The sequence below is a fragment of the Homo sapiens genome, chromosome 8, assembly GCF_000001405.40.
Source record: "Homo sapiens chromosome 8, GRCh38.p14 Primary Assembly".
NCBI classification, from domain to species: domain Eukaryota; kingdom Metazoa; phylum Chordata; class Mammalia; order Primates; family Hominidae; genus Homo; species Homo sapiens.
The window spans coordinates 6,835,540-6,859,341 of record NC_000008.11 but is presented as its reverse complement, the minus strand read 5'-3'; the positions used below and the strand labels follow the sequence as shown (position 1 = coordinate 6,859,341).

Genomic DNA, 23,802 nt, shown 5'->3' with positions numbered 1-23,802 from the left:
TTCTATAGGCATCATCATGATTGGGTATTTGCCAGAACAAAGAAAACAATCACAGAGGACCATAAAAGTCCTTTAAGCTACAGAGTCATAAATCCTGAATTACGAATTCCCCCTGGGCAACCAAGCAACAGAACCACTGACATCCCAGGTCCTGAGGGCTGACCTCTCAGATTACTAAAACTATACCTCTGCATGGAGCATCCTTAACTTTTCCTGCTGTCCTCTTGAACGGCAACTTTTAAAGTTAAGCTCTTAACAAATTTGAATTCTAAATCTGTTCAACAAAATTAAATCATTCCTGTGTTTTTCTGTGAATCTCTTAAAACCCTTTCCTTTTCCTTCTTGCCAGTGAACAGCCCTGTTACCAACTAAATGAGAAAAGACTCTGAAGATGGACATGACGCAGGAGATTGCCGTGCTGTCCATCTGTCCATCTGTAGCTATAGGGGCCCCTCATCCACCCACCGCCCCCACCAGGGAACCTTCACAGGGCACTGTTAAGAGAAAACCACCTCCTTCGCCACTCTTTTTTACACGACATTTTTAAATGAAGTAGTCCTACGTCTCAGATTCCACATTACTTCACCCTACAATTTTGGGTGAGCATCTGCAATTTTTTTTTTTTTTGAGACAGAGTCTTGCTCTATCACCAGGCTAGGGTGCAGTGGCATGATCTCGGCTCACTGTAATCTCTGCCTCCTAGGTTCAAGCGATTCTTCTGCCTCAGCCTCCCAAGTAGCTGGGACTACAGGTGCGCACCACCACACCCAGCTAACTTTTGTATTTTTAGTACAGACCGGGTTTCACCATATTGGCCAGGATGGTCTTCATCTCCTGACCCTGTGATCCGCCCACCTCAGCCTCCCAAAATGCTGGGATTACAGGCATGAGCCACCGCGTCTGGCCTTGCATTTCATTTTTTAATGCAAAACCCACGGGCTTCAGGCACCCGCTCTTTACAGAAAGTTTGGTGGAAGAAGAGCTGGTTTCTGCAGGGTCCAAATCTTCGCTTTCTCAAGGCCGCCTTCTAGTGGCCAGTAAGGGTAGCCTGGGTAATCTGGGCTCCAGGTCTCTTCCCTGGGGCTCCAAGTCAAATCCCTGAATGACTGATTTTCCATTATTTAATTTTCCAAAAAAACAACTCTCTGAATACATTTTTCCCAATGACCTATTGTCCCGCAACTTTAAATTGTGCCTAAGACAAGTCACCAGATTCTTTTAACCTCCAGAGCAAAGAAGGACCAGGGTGAAACAGGGCTGAATGAGGGAGGGGGAAGGGGTGCTGGAGATGGGGAAGGAGGGGAGTAGGGCAGTCCCTGGGATGAAGGTGGAATGGGAGGGGTAGAGGCAGGCACCACAGCAAGATCAGAGGTGGGAATAGCACGGGACCCAGGCAGGCATGAACCTGCCAAAATGCAGATCGCAAACTTCATCTCAGGACAACCTCACACACCTCTATCTATAAAACTGGGCATTTATATTTATTTATATTTTGGAAATGGAGACTCACTCTGTCACCCAGGCTGGAGTGCAGTGGCATGATCTCAGCTCACTGCAACCTCCGCCTTCCAGGTTCAAGCAATTCTCCTGTTTCAGCCTCCCAAGGAGCTGGGATTACAGGTGTGCACCACTGCACTCAGCTAATTTTTGTGTTTTTAGTAGAGATGGGATTTCACTATGTTGGCCAGGCTGGTCTCGAACCCCTCAACTCAAGTGATCTGCCCACCTCGGCCTCCCAAAGTGCTGGGATTATAGGCGTGAGCCACTGCGCCTGGCCAACACTGAGCATTTTTGATGCACCTGGATGTGAAATATGAAACAGATATTTGTGACAAATCACAGAAACAAAACTGATATGGTGAAGACACAGAGAAGCTGAGGACTTTGAAAATTCTTACGTCCAGCACACCGGTCATTTGATTAGTCCACTTTTAGCAAATTCACCATTGGGCAGAAGATATGCTTCCAGTGGGGAGGGTTGCAGTGAACTGGCTTTCTGTCATTTCTGCATTCAGACGTACTTACATTTTGTAAAATATATTTGTAAGAATATCTTCCTCCAGTTTTGAACTGGCTTTCACTTCCATTATAGTGTCTTTAGCATAAAAAGGAAGTTCTTGATTTTAACGGAGTAGAACATATCAGACTTTTTCCCATCAGTTCGTAGTTTTCATGACTTCAGAAAAATTCTTTCCTCAGACAGGCGCAGTGGCTCACTTCTGTAATCCCAACACTCTGGGAGGCCGAGGCAGGTGGATCACCTGAGGTCAGGAATTCAAGGCCCGTCTGACCAATACAGTAAAACCCCATCTCCACTAAAAATATAAAATTAGCCGGGCGTGGTGGCTCATGCCTGTAATCCCAGCTACTTGGGAGGCTGAGGCAGGAGAATCGCTTGATTCTGGGAGGCAGAGGTTGCGGTGACCCAAGATTGCACCATTGCACTCCAGCCTGGGCAACAAGAGAGAAATTCCATCTCACCAAAAAAATAAATAAATAAATAAATTCTTTCCTACTTGAGGTAATCATGATCGCACACTACTTTACTCAAATTAACTTAAATTTCTGCCTTCACAAACAAATCCTAAATCCATCTGGGCTTATTTTTCTCTGTGATTTTTATTTTCCTTGTATATGTATTCATAATTTTTCTATTATAAAAAATGGATGCTATTGTAATTGAAAATGAAAAAATTCCAACAAATCAATTATGTCGTAATAGTTGCATAAGTCTTCTGAATATTAGTACAAAACAATGTATTTTTGCCTCAAAGTTTTTTGCATTATTTTCAAGGTTTTGAAAAGTGAGATAGAGATTTTTTAAATTGTAGTGTCAGGAAGTAAAACATCACCAGCTTTCCACAAACATGTGTTAAGTGTCTAGTATATCCCAGGAAGTGAACTCCACCGAATGTCAAGGACGTGAAGGATTTAAAATATTTTTAAAAATTGCTTTCCTTAAAGAATTCACCTGCTAATGTGAGCTGTCACATTCCAAAGGTAATTACAAATTGTAATATGATACAGAACATACAAAGATAAAGACGTTATCAATGTCTTTCGCAAGCACGGGGAATGTAACTGTCACAAAGTGGGAAAGACCTAGAGGATCAGAGAAGGCGTTCTTTAACTGACTGGGAGTCAGGCCTGTTGGACAAGGGAAAAGTAGGGATCAGCAAACAGTCCAGGAGCTGAGGCATGAGCAAGAACAGTTTGATGGTGCCTCATTGGAAAGTGTTAGCAAGAGAGCTGATGGCTGAGTTGAGCTAAGATTAAATAATCTGTGCAGCATGACCTTGCACAATTTAACAATGTTGGGCCTTTTCCTGTAGGTGAGAGCTGTTCAAATGCTCTGCAACATGCTTCACCTGCGTGGGCAAATGAGAACAAAAGCCCCACTGGTGCCAAAGGGGCTACCTGCTGGATGTTCAAAATACCTTCAAAGCCGCATCTTATCAGGCAAAGGCATGTGTCCCTTCCATTCTATTCCATTCCATTGCATTGCAAGGTAATCATTTTTGAATCCTGAGAGGAAAAACAATGCTCCAGGAAGGTAGACCATGTTTGCCTGTTGCTGTCAAAGCTCCAGCAGACAGCTCCTGACCTTTGGTGGGGGCACAGCCTGGGAGATGAGGAGCCTCAGAAAACTTTGGGTCCTTGAAGAGGTGACACAGTCAGACATGAAATTCAGATACATTATGCTATGGCATGAATTGTGTCCCCAGGAAAAGAGACATTCAAGTCCTAACTCCAGCCACTCAGAGTGTGACTTTATTTGGCAATAGGGTCTTTGCATAGATAATCAACCTGTAATGGAGTCATTTGGGAGGCCCTAATCCAATAGGACCGGTGTCCTTATATAAAGGAGAAATTGGACCCAGAGAGAGGGGCATACAGAGAGAGGACGACGTGAAGACATACAGGGCCGTGTGACTGGACATGATGCCTCTACAAGCCAGGGAAGGCAGGGATTGCCAGCCATTAACAGAAGCTGGAAGAGGCAAGATGGGATCCTCTCTCAGCATTGTGAGATGGAGCATGGCCCGGCCAACACCAGATTTCAGACTTGTGACCTCCAGAACAATGTGAGGCAGTACAATTTTGTGGTTTTGAGCCACCCAGTTTCTCATACTTTGTTACAGCAGCCCGAGGACACTAATCCTAGAGGGATCCCTTTAATAGCTGGGTGGAGTACAGATGTGAGGTCCAAAGGCAATTCTGGAGGTGGGGAGCCCATGTGGGAGCCTCTTGTATTGATCCTGGGAGAAACAATGGAAGCCAGACCTAAGATACTAAGAACAGAGAGGAGGACAAAGATTCGAGAAACATTTAGGAGGTAAAAACAGGCAAGGTAAACTTGCTTCGGTGAGTTGTGTGAGGTCAAAGACAAAGACGGCCTCGAAGATCTCCTCCTGCAGTCTGGAAGTCCCATAGGACCAAGAGCAGTTTTCAAGGTGGCGGGAAAAGGTGAAGCCTGCAGTATAGATATGAAGCCCCTGCAGCTCTTAGAGATTCCCGCACATCCAAAATCCCAGGTGTCTGTACTGATCGCCTTTTGCTGCAAGAACAAACGTCCCCAAATCTCAGATTCTGGAAGTCACAAACATTCATGTCGCCATTCACAGTTGGCTCTGTGGCCTCTGCAGCCGGCTCTGGACTGGGCTCAGGGCTGCTCTGTGTGTGGCCCTGTCGGGGACAAATGCTCAGTGAACAGGGGCTGCCTATGACACGCTCTCCCCATGGGAGCTGAGGGCTGAAGGCTGTGGGCTGAGACACATGCTGCCCTTTCTGGAACAGGCACGCAGCCACTGCTTCCTGCTGGTGGACACAAGGCACACTGTCAGGCCCTGTGTCGGCGGGTCAGGGAGTACAGTTTACCTGCTGAGAGCCACTGCCAAGCCACGGCTGAGGGAAGGCATGTTGGAGCAGTGGATTCGCCGTATCTCTTGTTGTCTGAATTCTCATGCCTTGATATCTGGGGACTTGCCCCCTCAGAGTCAGCCAATTCTTAGAGATAGTAGGCAACTCTCCCAGGAGCACCCCTTTCAAATGCAAACCAACCAATCAAAAGTCCACACCCCCAGTTGCCCTCTTCGGGAGGCTCTCATGCTCTGGTCTCTATCCACCAGCCCTTATCTACCCTGGGCCAGGTACCAGACGACTAGGGACACCCTCTGTGCCCCAGAACTGCTGAAATTATTCATACTAGCAAATCCCAAACCTGCTTGCCCTGTCTTCTCATTTCTTCCCATGGAAATCACAAGAAAGGCTCTCGCCCACAGTTCCTTTTGTCTCCATCTACTTCCTAACCCCAGGCTTCCCCATGTGGCCCCCCTGCTCTGTGTGCCCCTCCTGCGATCTGTGGGTCTAACAAACTCCCTTTTCAATGGCACCGTGTCCTGATCCGTTGGCCTCACTGTATTTCTGGTGCTATATTTTAAAGCCAGCAAAACTCTGATTCTATCACAGCATCCTAAAATTTCATATCCTCTTGACACACCAAAAACTCAAATCTAGGAGATGACAGAAGCCTCATTGAACCCAGGTGCCGTATCTGCAGAATGGAAAATTCAGCAGAAGTATCTAGGGCCTACAAAAGGAAAATATATCTTGGGGTCCCCCAACAAATCACTAAGCTAAAGGGAAAGGTCCGGCTGGGAACTGCTTAGGGACAACCTGCCTCCCATTCTATTCAGTCACCCCTCTGCTCACTGAGATGAATACATATCTGATTGCCTCCTTTGGAGAGGCTCATCAGAAATTCAAAAGAATGCAACCATTTGCATTCTTGGAAGCCCTTCCTATCATTTGGAAGCCCCTCCCTGCTTTGTCTTCTCGCCTTTGCTTCAAGTTGTTCTGCCTTTCCAGACCGGACCGATGTTCATCTTGCACATGTTGATTGATGTCTCCTGTCTCCCTAGATTGTGTAAAACCAAACTGTGTTCTGAAGACCTTGGGCACATGTCCTCAGGATCTCCTGAGGCGGTTTCACAGGCACACAACCCCAACTTTGACAAAATAAACTTTCTAAATTAACTGAGACCTGTCTCAGATTTTGGGGGTTCACAGGCCAGATGGAGCATTCCAAACTCACTGCTGTTTCTAGACCAAGGAGTGCAAGGAAGACATTTGAGGCTAAGCAGGGAGTTGATGGACTCCCTGCGGTCAAGTCCTGAAAGCTTTGTCTGAAGGTTGTAGAAAGTCTATGGAGGTGCTTGGACCATGGCTCCCCAGGCAGGTAGGCATTACAAACTGCATCCTGCTCCACTCTTTTCAGTGGGCGTTGCAACTTGACTTGTTTGTTCTTGAAACAAGATAGTGAAAGAACCAGGTGGAGATGATTTAACTTGTGGTCTCCCCTTGGGGAAAGTTTCCTGGAACAAGACATGAAGGGTTGGGGCTGTTTTGAAGGCAGTGGTTCTCCTCCAGTGCAGAAGCCAGCTTCTCTGGCTCCCTGGGATGGGGCCCAGTTCAGAGATCAGATAAACCATGAGAAATGCAGCAGAACAGAATGCGGGCAGTTAGAAACATGTCTTTCTCCCTTTGACAGGCTGTGTGGAAAGACTTAGCAGCTGATAAGAGGGAGAAGCCAAGCGAGGAGGTTGTAGAAGTGCACAAAGACTCCAAGGTTTAGAGACTCAGGAAACACCCATAATTTGAGAAGCACTGAGCCCTACTGTCAATGCAGGCAGAAGCTGCAGTCCTGCCCTGGGATGGATGAGTGATTTTCCCTGCAGGCCGCTCAGTCCCACCACAAATATTTGAGAATAGTGGGGAAGAACAAACAGAGACTTATGTGCCAAGAGACTAATATTTAACAGCTATAAATCAAACTATCACACTGTTGACTAAAACGTGTTCTATCCTCCCACCCTAAACAAATATACTTCCAAGACAACCTGGACCTCCAGGAAAAATGTAGGATCCTTGCACTCCCACAACTCCCGCACCAGAATCAGACAGCACAAAGAGGGCAGGGCCTTGGCTTGCAGCCCCTCCCCTTTCTCTCCCTACAGCCAAGACCATCCTCAGCCTCCAGGGTCTCATGCACTCCCACACAGGACCTCTTGGCTTGCATCTCTAAGCTGTGTCACAGTCTCACAGCAGCCACCACTTGGCCTATGACACACCCTGGGAGCACGTCTCACCTTGGGGTTCCAACCCAAGGAAGAAACTTCCAAAGGCCCTAGACGAAGGCTGGGGGCAAGTAATTCTTAGGTCATAGGAGCCCAGAGAATGATTAATGAGAAGGGACATAGATCTGGCCAGACAGAAGACCTCTTAACCCCAGGCCCGAGAAGAACCCCTCTTGCCTGGGTCTCCAGCTGGTACAGAGACGAGGAAGCCCAAAGAAGTTTCCACTTGGCCCCAAAGGTTGGATTCAGAAAGCTTCCCAGGTTAAGAGAGGGAGTCACGGGATAACCCTGATCCAGCTAAGGTGAAAACGGATTCCTGCAGGAGACAGAGATGCCCTCTGCAGACACCCTCCTACTAGTAAATGGGAAAACAGACACTCAGACCGTGTGTGTGTGTGTGTGTGTGTGCATATGTGGGCGTGGGTGTTTGCAGGTGTGCATGTATATGCATGTGGATGTGTGTGAGTGTATGGGGTGTGCGTGCATGCATGCTTGAGTGTGTGCAGGTGTGCATGTGTATCTGCATGTATATCAGTGTATAAGTGTGCACGTATGCATGTAGGTTTATGCAGGTGTGCATGTATCGACGTGTGCATGTGCAAGTGTATGTATGAGTGTGTGCAAGTGTGCATGTATTTGTGCAAGTGTGCATCTGCATTTGAGGGTACGAGTGTGCATGTAGGTGTGTGCAGGTGTGCATGTGTGTGTATGTGCAGGAATGAGTGTACAGGATGTGTGTGGATATAGGTGTGTGTGTGGGTGTGCATGTGTGTATATGTGCGGGTGCGCATGTGCCGGTGTGATTGTATGGGGTGTGTGCGTGCATGTAGGTGTGTGCAGGTGCACGTGTGTGTATACGTGCAGGGGCACAAGTGCAGGTGTGAGTGTATGGGGTGCATGTGCAGGTAGGTGTGTGCAGGTGTGCATGTGTGTATATGTGCAGGTGTGCATGTGCAGGAGTGTATGGGGTGTGTGTGCATGCAGGTGCAGGAAGTGCAGGTGTGCATGTGTGTATATGTGCAGGTGCGCATGTGCAGGAGTGAGTGTGTGGGGTGTGTGTGCATGTAGGTGTGTGCAGGTGTGCATGTGTGTATATGTGCAGGGGCACATGTGCAGGTATGAGTGTATGTGGTGTGTGTGTGCATATAGGTGTGTTCAGGTATGCATTTGTGTCTATGTGCAAGTGTGCATATGTGTATATGTGCAGGTATGAGTGTATGGGGTGCATGTGCATATGTGTGCAGGTGTGCATGTCTGTATATGTGCAGAGGCACATGTGCAGGTTGAGTGTATGGGGTGCATGTGCATGTAGGTGTGTGCAGGTGTGCATGTGTGTATATGCGCAGGTGTGCATGTGCAGGTGTGTGTATGGGGTGTATGTGCATGTAGGTGTGTGCAGGCAGGCATGTATGTTCATGTGTGCATCTTCCAGTGTGACTGGGTATGCATGTGTGTGTGTGTGTGCATGTATGAGTGCACACATACATGTGCAGCTATGGGTGTGTGCATCTGCATATGTATGGTGGGAAGTGGGTTCTGGTGTGTGGGAATTCCCCTTGCAGTGACCTGCCCTGGGCCCCTGGTCTCCCCTCGCTGAGTTGTCTGTCACCAGCTGTCCTAGAATCTGGCTTTGTGGAACAGGTGGATACTTGGTACTAACTTCTGCAGTGAGCTGACTTCTCACTGCAGAAGTCAGCACCAAGCAGGTTGGTTCTGTGCAGGGCCACAACAGAGATCACCTTCAAATTCTTTAAATGAGAAGTTGACAGACATTTCCATCCCTCTTCTGGCCCTGGCTGTCTGTGTTCCCTGAGGCCCATTGACCTCTGTGGTCAGGTATGTAGGCCAAGCGTCCACCCTTGGAGCTAAATATGAGGTCTTTCCCATCTAAACGTGTGGCTGGCCAGCAGAAGGGTAGGAATGGAGCTGCTCAATCGGAAAGCACTCCCTGTGCAGATAAGATTCATTCTCGGGTGGAGCCAAGATGGCCGAATAGGAACAGCTCTGGTCCACAGCTCCCAGCGTGAGCGACGCAGAAGACAGGTGATTTCTGCATTTATATATGAGGAATGCAGCTCCTCACCAGCAAAGGAACAAAGCTGGATGGAGAACGACTTTGACGAGTTGAGAGAAGAAGGCTCCAGACGATCAAACTACTCCGAGCTACAGGAGGAAATTCAAACCAACGGCAAAGAAGTTAAAAACTGTGAAAAAAAATTAGACGAATGGATAACTAGAATAACCAATGCAGAGAAGTCCTTAAAGGAGCTGATGGAGATGAAAGCCAAGGCTCGAGAACTATGTGAAGAATGCAGAAGCCTCAGAAGCCAATGCGATCAACTGGAAGAAAGGGTATCAGTGATGCAAGACTAAATGAATGAAATGAAGCGAGAAGGGAAGTTTAGAGAAAAAAGAATAAAAAGAAATGAACAAAGTCTCCAAGAAATATGGGACTATGTGAAAAGACCAAATCTACATCTGACTGGTGTACCTGAAAGTGACGGGGAGAATGGAACCAAGTGGGAAAACACTCTGCAGGATATTATCCAGGAGAACTTCCCCAATCTAGCAAGGCAGGCCAACATTCAGATTCAGGAAATACAGAGAATGCCACAAAGATACTCCTCCAGAAGAGCAACTCCAAGACACATAATTGTCAGATTTACCAAAGTTGAAATGAAGGAAAAAATGTTAAGGGCAGCCAGAGAGAAAGGTCAGGTTACCCACAAAGGGAAGCCCATCAGACTAACAGCGGATCTCTCGGCAGAAACTCTACAAGCCAGAAGAGACTGGCGGCCAATATTCAACATTCTTAAAGAAAAGAATTTTCAACCCAGAATTTCATATCCAGCCAAACTAAGCTTCATAAGTGAAGGAGAAACAAAATACTTTACAGACAAGCAAATGCTGAGAGATTTTGTCACCATCAGGCCTGCCCTAAAAGAGCTCCTGAAGGAAGCACTAAACATGGAAAGGAACAACCGGTACCAGCCACTGCAATAACATGCCAAACTGTAAAGACCGTCAAGGCTAGGAAGAAACTGCATCAACTGATGAGCAAAATAACCAGCTAACATCACAATGAGAGGACCAAATTCACACATAACATTATTAACTTTAAATGTAAATGGGCCAAGTGCTCCAATTAAAAGACACAGACTGGCAAATTGCATAAAGACTCAAGACCCATCAGTGTGCTGTATTCAGGAAACCCATCTCATGTGCAGAGACACACATAGGCTCAAAATAAAGGGATGGAGGAAGATCTACCAAGCAAATGGAAAACAAAAAAAGGCAGGGGTTGCAATCCTAGTCTCTGATAAAACAAACTTTAAACCAACAAAGATCAAAAGAGACAAAGAAGGCCATTACATAATGGTAAAGGGATCAATTCAACAAGAAGAACTAACTATCCTAAATATATATGCACCCAATACAGGAGCACCCAGATTCATAAAGCAAGTCCTGAGTGACCTACAAAGAGACTTAGACTCCCACACAATAATGATGGGAGATTTTAACACCCCACTGTCAACATTAGACAGATCAGCGAGACAGAAAGTTAACAAGGATACCCAGGAATTGAACTCAGCTCTGCACCAAGCAGACCTAATAGACATCTACAGAACTCTCCACCCCAACTCAACAGAATATACATTCTTTTCAGCACCACACCACACCTATTCCAAAATTGACCACATAGTTGGAAGTAAAGCACTCCTCAGCAAATGTAAAAGAACAGAAATTATAACAAACTGTCTCGCAGACCACAGAGCAATCAAGCTAGAACTCAGGATTAAGAAACTCACTCAAAACCGCTCAACTACATGGAAACTGAACAACCTGCTCCTGAATGACTACTGGGTACATAACGAAATGAAGGCAGAAATAAAGATGTTCTTTGAAACCAACGAGAACAAAGACACAACATACCAGAATCTCTGGGACACATTCAAAGTAGTGTGTAGAGGGAAATTTATAGCACTAAATGCTCACAAGAGAAAGCAGGAAAGATCCAAAATTGACACCCTAACATCACAATTAAAAGAACTAGAAAAGCAAGAGCAAACACATTCAAAAGCTAGCAGGAGGCAAGAAATAACTAAAATCAGAGCAGAACTGAAGGAAATAGAGACACAAAAACCCTTTAAAATATTAATGAATCCAGGAGCTGGTTTTTTGAAAAGATCAACCAAATTGATAGACTGCTAGCAAAACTAGTAAAGAAGAAAAGAGAGAAGAATCAAATAGATGCAATAAAAAATGATAAAGGGGATATCACCACTGATCCCACAGAAATACAAACTACCATCAGAGAATATTACAAACAACTCTACGCAAATAAACCAGAAAATCTAGAAGAAATGGATAAATTCCTCGACACATACACCCTCCCAAGACTAAACCAGGAAGAAGTTGAATCTCTGAGTAGACCAATAACAGGCTCTGAAATTGTGGCAATAATCAATAGCTTACCAGCCAAAAAAAGTGCAGGACCAGATGGATTCACAGCCGAATTCTGCCAGAGGTACAAGGAGGAGCTGGTACCATTCCTTCTGAAACTATTCCAATCAATAGAAAAAGAGGGAATCCTCCCTAACTCATTTTATGAGGCCAACATCATCCTGATACCAAAGCCTGGCAGAGACACAACCAAAAAAGAGAATTTTAGACCAATATCCTTGATGAACATTGATGCAAAAATCCTCAGTACAATACTGGCAAACCTAATCCAGCAGCACATCAAAATCTTATCCACCATGATCAAGTGGGCTTCATCCCTGGGATGCAAGGCTGGTTCAACATATGCAAATCAATAAATGTAATCCAGCATATAAACAGAACCAAAGACAAAAACCACATGATTATCTCAATAGATGCAGAAAAGGCCTTTGACAAAATTCAACCACCTTTCATGCTAAAAACTCTCAATAAATTAGGTATTGATGGGACGTATCTCAAAATAATAAGCGCTATCTATGACAAACCCACAGCCAATATCATACTGAATGGACAAAAATTGGAAGCATTCCCTTTGAAGACTGGCACAAGACAGGGATGCCCTATCTCACCACTCCTATTCAACATAGGGTTGGAAGCTCTGGCCAGGGCAATTAGGCAGGAGAAAGAAATAAAGGCATTCAGTTTGGAAAAGAGGAAGTCAAATTGTCCCTGTTTGGAGATGACATGATTGTATATCTAGAAAACCCCATTGTCTCAGCCCAAAATCTCCTTAAGCTGATAAGCAACTTCAGCAAAGTCTCAGGATACAAAATCAATGTACAAAAATCAGAAGCATTCTTATACACCAATAACAGACAAACAGAGAGCCAAATCATGAGTGAACTCCCATTCACAATTGCTTCAAAGAGAATAAAATATCTAGGAATCCAACTTAAAAGGGGTGTGAAGGACCTCTTCAAGGAGAACTACAAACCACTACTCAATGAAATAAAAGAAGATACAAACAAATGGAAGAACATTCCATGCTCATGGGTAGGAAGAATCAATATCGTGAAAATGGCCATACTGCCCAAGGTAATTTATACATTCAATGCCATCCCCATCAAGCTACCAGTGACTTTCTTCACACAATTGGAAAAAACTACTTTAAAGTTCATATGGAACCAAAAAAGAGCCCGCATCACCAAGTCAATCCTAAGCCAAAAGAACAAAGCCGGAGGCATCACACTACCTGACTTCAAACTATACTACAAGGCTACAGTAACCAAAACAGCATGGTACTGGTACCAAAACAGAGATATAGATCAATGGAACAGAACAGAGCCCTCAGAAATAATGCCGCATATCTACAACCATCTGATCTTTGACAAACCTGACAAAAACAAGCAATGGGGAAACGATTCCCTATTTAATAAATGGTGCTGGGAAATCTGGCTAGCCATATGGAGAAAGCTGAAACTGGATCCCTTCCTTACACCTTATACAAAAATTAATTCAAGATGGATTAAAGACTTACATGTTAGACCTAAAACCATAAAAACCCTAGAAGAAAACCTAGGCAATACCATTCAGGACATAGGCATGGGCAAGGACTTCATGTCTAAAACACCAAAAGCAATGGCAACAAAAGCCAAAATAGACAAATCGGATTTAATTAAACTAAAGAGCTTCTGCACAGCAAAAGAAACTACCATCAGAGTGAACAGGCAACCTACAGAATGGGAGAAAATTTTCACAACCTACGCATCTGACAAAGGGCTAATATCCAGAATCTACAATGAACTCAAACAAATTTACAAGAAAAAAACAAACAACCCCATCAAAAAGTGGGCAAAGGATATGAACAGAGACTTCTCAAAAGACGACATTTATGCAGCCAAAAAACACATGAAAAAATGCTCATCATCACTGGCCATCAGAGAAATGCAAATCAAAACCACAATGAGATACCATCTCACACCAGTTAGAATGGCAATCATTAAAAAGTCAGGAAACAACAGGTGCTGGAGAGGATGTGGAGAAATAGGAACACTTTTACACTGTTGGTGGGACTGTAAACTAGTTCAACCACTGTGGAAGTCAGTGTGGCGATTCCTCAGGGATCTAGAACTAGAAATACCATTTGACCCAGCCATCCCATTACTGGGTATATACCCAAAGGACTATAAATCATGCTGCTATAAAGACACATGCACACGTATGTTTATGGCGGCACTATTCACAATAGCAAAGACTTGGAACCAACCCAAATGTTCAACAATGATAGACTGGATTAAGAAAATGTGGCACATATACACCATGGAATACTATGCAGCCATAAAAAATTAAGAGTTCATGTCTTTTGTAGGGACATGGATGAAACTGGAAACCATCATTCTCAGCAAACTATGGCAAGGACAAAAAAACCAAACACCGCATGTTCTCACTCATAGGTGGGAACTGAACAATGAGAATACATGGACACAGGAAGGGGAACATCACATTCAGGGACTGTTGTGGGGTGGGGGGAGGGGAGAGGGACAGCATTAGGAGATATACCTAATGTAAATGACGAGTTAATGGGTGCAGCGCACCAACATGGCACATGTGTACATAAGTAACTAAACTGCACATTGTGCACATGTACCCTAGAACTTAAAGTATAATAATAAAATAAAATAAAAAAGAAATAAAAAAATTTAAAAACAAAGAATCATTCTCTATAATTAAGTCTCATAACAGGCAACACTTCCAGATCTGTTGTGTAAGCAGCCAGAAGCAGTATAAACAGAGGCTCTTCCAGCGAGCCTCGTGGTCTCAGCAGGGCACATACCTTTTCCTTCTGTTACCCATCAGGAGTCTCTGTTTTTGGCTCCTGGCCTTCCGCGTTCTTGTTGGTCAGGTTGCCCCAGGTAAGACCGGAAGCCGGGCAGCGTGGGGGCTGCAGGGTCTCGGGCCCAGGGAATGGGGATTAAGCTGTGTTTTGACAACGGCTCAGGGTCTAGAAATAAGTAATAAATCTGAGCATCAGGGAGAGGATCAAAATAATACAGACTCAAGGAAAATGCTTATATATATTTTTTTAACTTACTGAGACATCCTCCAGGATCTCTTTAGACTGAGGGTTGCTTCCCTGGAACAAGAACCGACTTACCAGGGAGACAGTGAAAGGAATGAGCCAGGCTTTTAGGACAGCAGATATGGTTAGCGCTAGAAATAGGCCTTGCAGATAACTGCCTCATAGGAGGCACCTGTCCCCAGGGCTCATTTCCCACCTGATTCATTTCTCGGCCTGGAAGAAAGTGCAGTATACAGAAGAGGGCTCAGCCTGCGAGAAAGTGCAGGATACAGAAGAGGGCTCAGCCTGCGAGAAAGTGCAGGATACAGAAGAGGGCTCGGCCTGGGAGCCAAAGTACAGTGTGTGGTTCCCAGCTCTGACACTCACTCGCAGTGGGCCTTCCTGCGAGTAACTGAGTTGTCCTCAAATTCAACCCTGTCTCTGTAAAACAGGAATAAAAACCCCACGTGGCACAGAGGGTTTCATTGATGACACCTGAGGCTAGGTTCAGGAAGAGCCTCTTAAAGCATCACAGACATTGGAGGTAGTGGCGGTGTTTCTGTTGCTGTTGCTTTCCGGCTTCTGTTTTCTGTATTCTCTGCCTCCTCTCCCGCCAAGCCGGCCCACCATGCCGGCCTCCTGAGGCCGTGGATGTATCTCAGTGGCCTATGGGGTCCCAGTCCCCCGAGGAGTCCTGTCCACTCTTTCTGCCCAGTGCCTCCTGCCCTTCTATGCGCAGGGCAAGTAGGGGCTGTGCTCTGGCTTGTCTTCACACTCATAGAAGGTTGCAGAGATTCCTGTTACGGAATCTCCACCCCATTCTATCTCTTTAGCAGGGACTGGAAGCTGGGGTGCAAGAGGGAGCTAAGAGTCAGCATTTGGGGCAGATACTATGGAATCTGGCATTTTTAGAGTTGAGGCTGTCCTGCAAGCCAAGAACCACCGACAGCGTGGCACAGATTGACACAGACCGCAGTGCGGGCTTCATAGGGAATACCATTGTCAGCTGAGGAGCTGAAATATACTTCCCTCCCCACAGGCCATGGCCAATGCCTTCGAAAACCCCTGAGTGCTTCCAGAATGGCGGCCAATGTATATTTTCTTGCACAATACAGCAGATCCCCGTTGGTTCCTCCTACAGTGGAAGAAAGAAATGCAGCCAGGGCCTGTGACGGGCTGAAGATCACCTGAGCACAGGAAACCTGGAGAGCGAAATAGAACGCTCACTTTAGCTCTAAAGATTCTACCGTATTACCTCTTGAAAATAAATAAATGACCAGGTGCTGGATTTAGGAATGGCGATTACGATGCTTATTTGGGAGAGACATGTATCTAGACGCAGAGAAGGAAGGAATACTGTGTGTGCGTGAAGAGTAACCTCAGGTTACTTCTCTCAGTCCCAGAGGCTGGAAGTCTGACATCCGGTTATCCGCAGGGTTGATTTGGTTCCTAGATGGCCGCCTTCTTCCTGTATCTTTGTGTGTTCGTCCCTTGGTGCATGTGTGTGTCAGTATCCAAATTTCCTTTTCTTATAAGGACAGCAGTCCTACTGAATCGGGGCCACCTTAAAGGCCTCATTTTAACTTAATAAGCTATGCACAGACCCTATTTCCAAATACGGTTACATTCTGAGGCCCTGGGAGTTAGGACTTCCACATAGGAATTCGGGTGCACACAACTCAGCCCTTCCCACCGGGCTTACCCCTGCATCTGCAGTTAGCTTCCAGGTCCACTGGAGGCTGGCTGCCGCCAAGGCAATGTGAATTGTAGAGCCACGCGCAAGGTGTCCTGAGGCCTAGCTTCATAACTGGCCCCTTCTGCTGCTGTTATTGGTCAAAACAAGTCAAAAAGCCAACTAGATTCCTGAGCTGGGGAAACAGACACCACTGCAGATGGAAAGAGCTGCAGAGTCAGATCACAAAGGGTGTGATTCAGTGGGGGATTCAGGGCCACAGTGGTGGCCCGCCTCACCATCAACCACAAAGGGTATCCAGGTTCCTTCTGCCTTACGTACTTTGGGTGTGTATGAGGGGCTTAACGTAGTTCAGTGTGCCTTGGAAGACCCCGAACACTGCCTTTCAAGCGGAAGATTCTCTGACAAAAATCCGTACGGATCAAGGATGTGCTTCAGAGCCAGATCCCAATTGTTTGATCAAGCACAGCCCAGGAGCTCTGATGCCAGTGAAGTATTAGTTTTAAAATGTCATGCATGACTAGTCGTTGAGGGGAAAATAAGAATTTCTGGACTTCTTTATACTTTTCCATTTATATGGCATTGGTTATTGGTTACAGAGAGGGACGGGGACCTAAAATATTTTCTGTTCCAAAATCTAGACTTTGCCCATTCCTGGTGACGTGAAAGTCACTTGAGGTGATTGTGTATCTAGGGGCAGTAGTAGGACTGAAGGAGGGGTGAGAGAGTGCACTTTAACTCCCCGAAAACCTACTCCCTACAGCTACCCAAATAACATGCAAACATTAATAAAAACAAAGAACTTGCAAAACAAATGTAACTTCAAAGCCGTTCCCCAAACCCTCTTCCAGCTTTATGGCTTTAGCTAAATCCTTCCTGCACAGCCCCTGCCTTTGCCCACACACTCCCCAAGCAGAAGAGTGCCTCAGAGCCCCAACCAAATGTTCCTGCTCCATCTCCCCCAGCCCTCGCCCTCCTCGCATGCTCTCCCATACACAACTGCCTTATCCCTGCTGACCAAGAAGGGCCTTGCCCCTTCTTCACCTGGCTTACAGGAGTCCCTTTTGCATAATGGTGGAACTTGATCCCTTTTTTCTCTGTGCTCCCAGAATATGCATTGAACCAATGCTGTTCAATCCTAAAGAGTGCAGGCGAGGAGAGGAAAAGAAGAGTCTTCACGGCTACTGCCCAGGCGGGGCATGCTGTCTGCCAAATAACCATCACTCTAGTCCCCAGATCCATTCACACCTTCAGCCCATCGGTGTGTATCGAGTGCTCCCTCTGTGCCAGGGCCTGGGAGACAGTGCTGAACAAGTCAGATGAAGTCCCCCTCCTCTGGTGCTCCTGTAGAGGGAGACGGACAATGAGAAAATAAACAAATGAGATGATGTAAGTGCAGGAAGAAAAAGAGAGCAGGATGAGGGGGTGCAAGTGTCCAGGAAGAGGCCTGCGAGAGCCGCCCACCTCTGCCACGCAGCCCCTCACAATTGCAGGGTCCCCACCTCAATTCCAGCTGCCCTCACCCCACCCCATATATGCAACACACAGGCCCTGGGGAGGGCAGCCCCAGGGACACCTGGGCCGGAGCGTCACAGCAGACAGAAGAGGGATGGCCGCTCTGGGCTGCTTCTTTATTGATTGCTGCTGCACTCACAGAAGGCCTGTTTCCTTCTTTGTGCCCGGTGTCTGCCTAGCCCCAGGAGGAGAAAGAGAAAGGAAACAAAAACGGCCGCCACACTGCTCAGAGCAGCTCTTCTCATGTCCGGAGACTCTCCCTTCACTCCACACACTGAAGTGCGCCTCTGGAAACACTGCGGCTTGCAGGAGATCCCGCTGGACTGGGGTCAGACGCGCCTTGGCTCTGTGCCTGGCTCTGCATCCAGCTCTGCCTCTACCAGCCGAGAAACTGCCCTCTTTGGATCTCAGAGAGCAAATACCTGCCCTGCCCACCCCACGGGCTTGTGTGCAGTTAACTATGGAGAAAGTATTCCCAAAGCATTCAGAAGCTAGCTGAGATTTTAAAGTACTAAGGATTATTTTAATGACGTTAAAATACATTTATTTTCACATTAAGTCATCTTCAAACCTAATGACGTGATTTGAAGACACAGGTTTTCCACATCCTCTGTCCCAGAGTCAGAGAGCTCTGTTTAAACGTGCTCTGAGGGTTTGCAACCGCCGGTGCAACAGCGCCACCTACTGGGTGTTTGCCCTGGGAAAAGACTAGACTGAGCTGCAGCGCTTCCTGGCTGCTTGCTTTCATTCATTCACTTACTTGTTTATTCACTTATTCATTCATACACCCAACATGCACTGAGAAGGCATTATACGCTGTGCACACTCTCATGATCTGCTATCTATGCAGGTGCAAACAAGCCATGGCATTACAGGGTCCGGATGGGCTTGAGGGACGATTAGTTTACATGGCTTGGAGGAGGGGGCAAGAAAAGCCTTGGCAACCATGGCTTTCTCCTACGCACTAGAAGAGGGATGCTTAAGAAGGTGGGTGGCCCGACTGGCTCGTGGATCATCCCAGGGTTAGCGACCACAGAAGACACCAGTATCTTCCACATCAACTCCTTCAACTATTGCTACAAATTTATAGAGCCAAAACATTCCGTTTACTCTCATTTCTCATAACGTACTCCTGGAAATTTATCTAAAAGTAAACATTCCAGCAGAGGACAGTGGAGGAACTGTGTTCCCCAAATGGTTGTTGCAGTGGTATCAACACTACAAAAATAGGTAAACAAATAAAATCTTCAGCTGCGTAGGATTTGCTGACAATAATAAGTACTATACGAATATTTGAATGTATTCCTGATACATTGAGTGTAAAATGCAGAATATTAACTTCAAGGCTCATTCTTATTTCATTAATGTAACAGAAAAGATAGACAGATAAAGATTAGAAAATGTATGCCCAACATTAAAATAAGAATTGCCTTAATTATGAAGACGCTGCTTCTGATTTTTAATCAGACTGTACCACACTTAACCTGAACTGCTCTAATCACAGCAGCAGTGCCAGAGGTCCCTGGAGCCTGGGACCTTATGTGGCTACTGAGGCTAGGCATCACCCAGTTTGTAATTTTTGCCAATCTAAAGAAGTAATGTGATGTCAGGCCGGGAGTGGTGGATCACGCCTGTAATCCCAGCACTTTGGGAGACGGAGGCAGACAGATCACTTGAGCTCAGGAATTCAAGACCAGCCTGGCCAACACAGGGAAACCCCGTCTCTACTAAAAATAAAAAAATTACCCAGGCACAGTGGCACGTGCCTGTAATCCCAGCTACTCATAAGACTGAGGCAGGAGAATCGCTTGAACCCGGGAGGTGGAGGTTGCAGTGAGCTGAGATCGCGCCATTGCACTCCAGTCTGGATGGCAGGGCAAGATCTTGTCTAATAAATAAATAAAGTGATGTCATTCACTTTGCACTTTTTAAAATATTGATAGGTTTCAGCATCACTTAAATTATCTTCAGTTTGGAAACATTTTCTTCAGTAAATTAGGCCTTTTCGGGTTTTTCTCTTCCATAAATTGCCTTTTCCCCTTTTTTACTGAGGTTGCTGCCTCCTCGTTTTTGTTGAAATATAGGAGTTACTTGTATATTTCATATATTAATGACTTGTCAGTTTGAGACATTGCAAAACACTTCTCCCACTGTATCTAACTTCTGTCCGTTAACGTCCACAAGGTCCTTCACTAAACAGAAGGCTTCAGTTGTTACACACAAAAAAATGCAATCCATTTTTCCCTTGTGGTTTGTGTTTTGAGGTGTTGTTTAAGACATCCTTCTCCATTACTAAGTCATAAAAATATTCTGCTATTTTTTGTACTTCTTTCTGTTAAAGTCTTATCTTTCATATGTAGGTCTTTACTCTACATGGCGTCCACCTGTGGGCATGCGCTAGGTGGAGATCTACTTTTATTGTTTGGATCTAATGAGCTCATTTTATCACACATTCACTAAACAATTTGTATTTCTCCATTGATTTGTGGTGCCGCTATTGGTCATATATTTTAAGTTCTATGTATTTGTAGGTCAGCTTCTGAGCTCTCCACTGCATTCTATAGATTTTTTGTCTGTTCTGTGCCAATACCATAACGTTCTATAAACATGACTTTTTCTTGATATATATTAATATCTAGAAGGGTACAAATGCCTCTTTATCCTTCTTCACAAAGTCGGCTAATTTGTGGACCTCCTCTCTTCATTCACATTTTAGAGTAAGTCTATCAAGTTTCGTAAAGATCATTTTGGAATTTTTAATAAGTTTCCACTGAATGTATAGATTAATTAAGGAAGAATTGACAATTTTATTAAGCTGTTTGAATCAAAAACAAGAATATATCTACTCAGATCATTTCTTATATTCTTTATTAGAGTTTTATGGTGTGCTCCAGACAAATCTTATGTATGTTTTAAATCAATTCCTAAGCACTTTATAGACATTCTAACTATTACAACTATCTTAATTTTTCCAGTTTTGTATAGTACGTGTACAGAGAAACGCTATTGGTTTTTGTAAGTTATATTAGAAGGCCTTTTGGCCTTTTTTTTTTTTTTTTTTGAGACGGAGTCTCGCTCTGTTGCCCAGGCTGGAGTGCAGTGGCGTGATCTCGGCTCACTGCAAGCTCTGCCTGCTGGGTTCACACCTTTCTCCTTCCTCAGCGTCTCAAGTAGCTGGGACTACAGGTGCCTGCCACCACGCCCAGCTATTTTTTTTTTTTTTTTTTTTAGTAGAGATGGGGTTTCACCATGTTAGCCAGGGTGGTCTCGATCTCCTGACCTCATGATCCACCCGCCTCGGCCTCCCAAAGTGCTGGGATTACAGGCGTGAGCCACCGCACCCGGCCACGTTTTGAACTATTTCATCAGCTTGACAAGGTTGATTGTTCTAGGTAGAGAAGCATCTGTAGATGATGAGTGTCTCACCCTTCCTTTCTGCTAGTTACATGATCTTATTTCCTTCAGTTTCCTTATACATTAGGTATACCCTCCAACACAATATTAAACAGTAGTTGTGATACTGAGCATGCTTGTCTTCTTATCTGTGAGCCACTGTGCCCAACCAAGAAAAATCATTTGATTATTTCAATCCTAGCACTTGGGGAGGCCGAGGCAGGCAGATCACTTCAGCTCAGGAGTTCGAGACCAGCCTGGCTAACATGAAGAAACCCCATCTGTACTAAAAATACAAAAATTAGCTGAGTCTGGTAGCACACGCCTGCAATTCCAGCTACTTGGGAGGCTGAGACATGAGAACAGGGCTTGAACCCAGGAGGTTGAGGTTGCCGTGAGCCAAGATTGCGCCTATTCACTCCAGCCTCATGTCAGAGCTAGACTGCCTCAAGAAAGAAAGAAAAAAAAAGGATTTTTCTTGTTCAAAATGATAATGGAGTGACATCAAAGGATTTCTGGGTTGTGAAAATTCATAGTAAAACCCACCTTATCATATAATACTATTTTAATATATTTTGAATTTATCATTTTACCTAGGATTTTTGCATCTGTGCTTGTCATTAAAATAATTTTCTTTCTATGTATATCTTTGTTTACAATCAAAACTACAGCAGTCTTTTAAAATAAGCTGGGTAAAGTTCGGTCTTTGTTTCCTGGAGCAAATTATATTAGGTAGCAGTTAACTGTTCATTGAAACTTTGGCAGAATTAATCTGTAAAAGTACCTAGACCTGAATAGTCTTTGACTACCAGTTTAATTTCTCTAACACTCACTGGACTATTCAAATTCTCTCTCTCTCTCTCTCTTTTTTTTTTTTTTTTTTTTTTTTGAGATGAAGTCTCCCTCTGTCACCCAGGCTGGAGTACAATGGTACGATCTCGGCTAACTGCAACCTCCACCTCCCAGGTTCAAGCGGTTCTCCTGTCTCAGCCTCCCAAGTAGCTGGGATTACAGGTGTCCACCACCACACCCAGCTAATCTTTGTATTTTTAGTAGAGACAGCGTTTCGCCATGTTGGCCAGGCTGGTCTCAAACTCCTGACCTCAGGTGATCCGCCTGCCTTGGCCTCTCAAAATGCTGGGATTACAGGCATGAGACATCGTGCCTGGCCAAGTTCTCTTTCTTCTTATGTTAATTTGAACATGCTTTCGCCATGGGATGTGCCTGCTCCCCTTTCACCTTCCGTTATGAGCATAAGCTCCCAAGGCCTTCCTAGAAACTGAGCAGATGCCAGCACCGTGCTTCCTGTAAATCCTGAAGAACTGTGAGCCAATCAAACTTCTTTTCTGATAAATTACCCAGTCTCAGGTATTTCTTTATAGTCATACAAGAACAGCCTATTACAATATATGGGTATATACATGAATGACAAAGAATGTCTCCCTGATCAGACTCTGGACAGCCTCCTCCGAGCTCTCTGCACGACTGGGCCCAACCTGGGCATTCCTTCCTCTGTTCCTGCAGAGTCTAGTTTTAGCAAGAATCCTGCTAAGTCAGTTTAATCCCAATTCCCCACCTCAGGTGTCTGAATACCCTCCATATCTGACCAAATTCCAACACCTGCTCCACCCCACCCCCATCCCCGATGTGGATCAACTTGGCCCACCCTCAGCAGGAATCCTGTTAGGTCAGGGAAGCCAGAACCCCCACTTGATGTCCCCTTCTCAATGACTTTCCATCCACCGTCCCCCACACTGCTCCTTGGCTATAAATCCCCACTTTTCCTTATTATTTTCGGACCCCAATCTCTCTCCCCTGCTGCAAAACCTCAGTGCAGTCCCTTACATCTAAGGAAATGGTTCTGAATAAAAGTCTGTCTTACCGTTTTTAAAACGTCAGAATGTTTTCAGATACGTGTGTGTATATATCTCCATATCTGTAAATATATATAAATATAGATATAGATATCTCCGAAGAGAAGGTTTTCCAATGTGCACTTTTTCTTCTTGCACATTGCGATCTTAACCCTCAAGCACATCTGGAAAAAGCTTCCATGAGGATACAGCCTGGGATGGATTTGTGGGCGAGGTGTAGACCACGATACCGGGTAACGTGCCCTGTGTTTTCTGGACACAGAACTGTAAGATTTCAAAAAGACCCAATCAATGATTCTAACCCAACTCTACATATATTTACTCAAACACAGTATTCCTCCCTGACTAGTGGTTAACGGACTTGCTTTAGGCGGCCCCAGAGGCGGTGGCCAGTTTAGCCACCTCCCGAGGAACCTGCGCAGTCCCGACGCTCACCAAGCGCTTTCCTGGCGGTTACAGGGTTGGGGGCAGCGCAGAACCCGCTTCTGCCCTTATCAGGAGCCCGGACCTGAGCTGGACTCCACCACCTCGTCCCCACCCACCCTGGAAGCCAGAAACCCCAAGCATCCTCCCTCCCTCCCCTGCTGGCCACTACGAATAAACCAGACATACAATTCGCGCCTAACGGCTTAGCCAGAAATGCCACCCGCAGTCGGGCCCCGGGCCGGAAACCTCCCCGACGCGGGGCCG

General features: G+C 45.4%; 1 long non-coding RNA gene across 1 annotated transcript, besides 3 other annotated features; it reads right to left on the bottom strand.

Moving 5' to 3' along the window:
- Positions 1-16,887: 16,887 nt before the first annotated feature.
- Positions 16,888-23,788, bottom strand: GS1-24F4.2 (uncharacterized LOC100652791). Its single transcript, NR_045217.1, has 3 exons — positions 23,725-23,788; positions 23,121-23,376; positions 16,888-17,674 (listed from the first exon to the last, which is right to left on the bottom strand). It is a non-coding gene; the product is annotated as an uncharacterized LOC100652791 (long non-coding RNA).
- Positions 17,946-18,523: an enhancer, noted in NCBI's record as "H3K27ac-H3K4me1 hESC enhancer chr8:6698341-6698918 (GRCh37/hg19 assembly coordinates)". NCBI's record gives its function as "activates a minimal SCP1, AML or CMV promoter by ChIP-STARR-seq in naive H9 embryonic stem cells {active_cell/tissue: H9 hESC(naive)}" and the evidence as "EXISTENCE:reporter gene assay evidence [ECO:0000049][PMID:30033119]".
- Positions 17,946-18,595: a biological region, named in NCBI's record as "H3K27ac-H3K4me1 hESC enhancer GRCh37_chr8:6698341-6698918".
- Positions 18,446-18,595: a silencer, noted in NCBI's record as "silent region_18888". NCBI's record gives its function as "represses an Ori minimal core promoter by ATAC-STARR-seq in GM12878 lymphoblastoid cells {active_cell/tissue: GM12878}" and the evidence as "EXISTENCE:reporter gene assay evidence [ECO:0000049][PMID:35858748]".
- Positions 23,789-23,802: the final 14 nt, after the last annotated feature.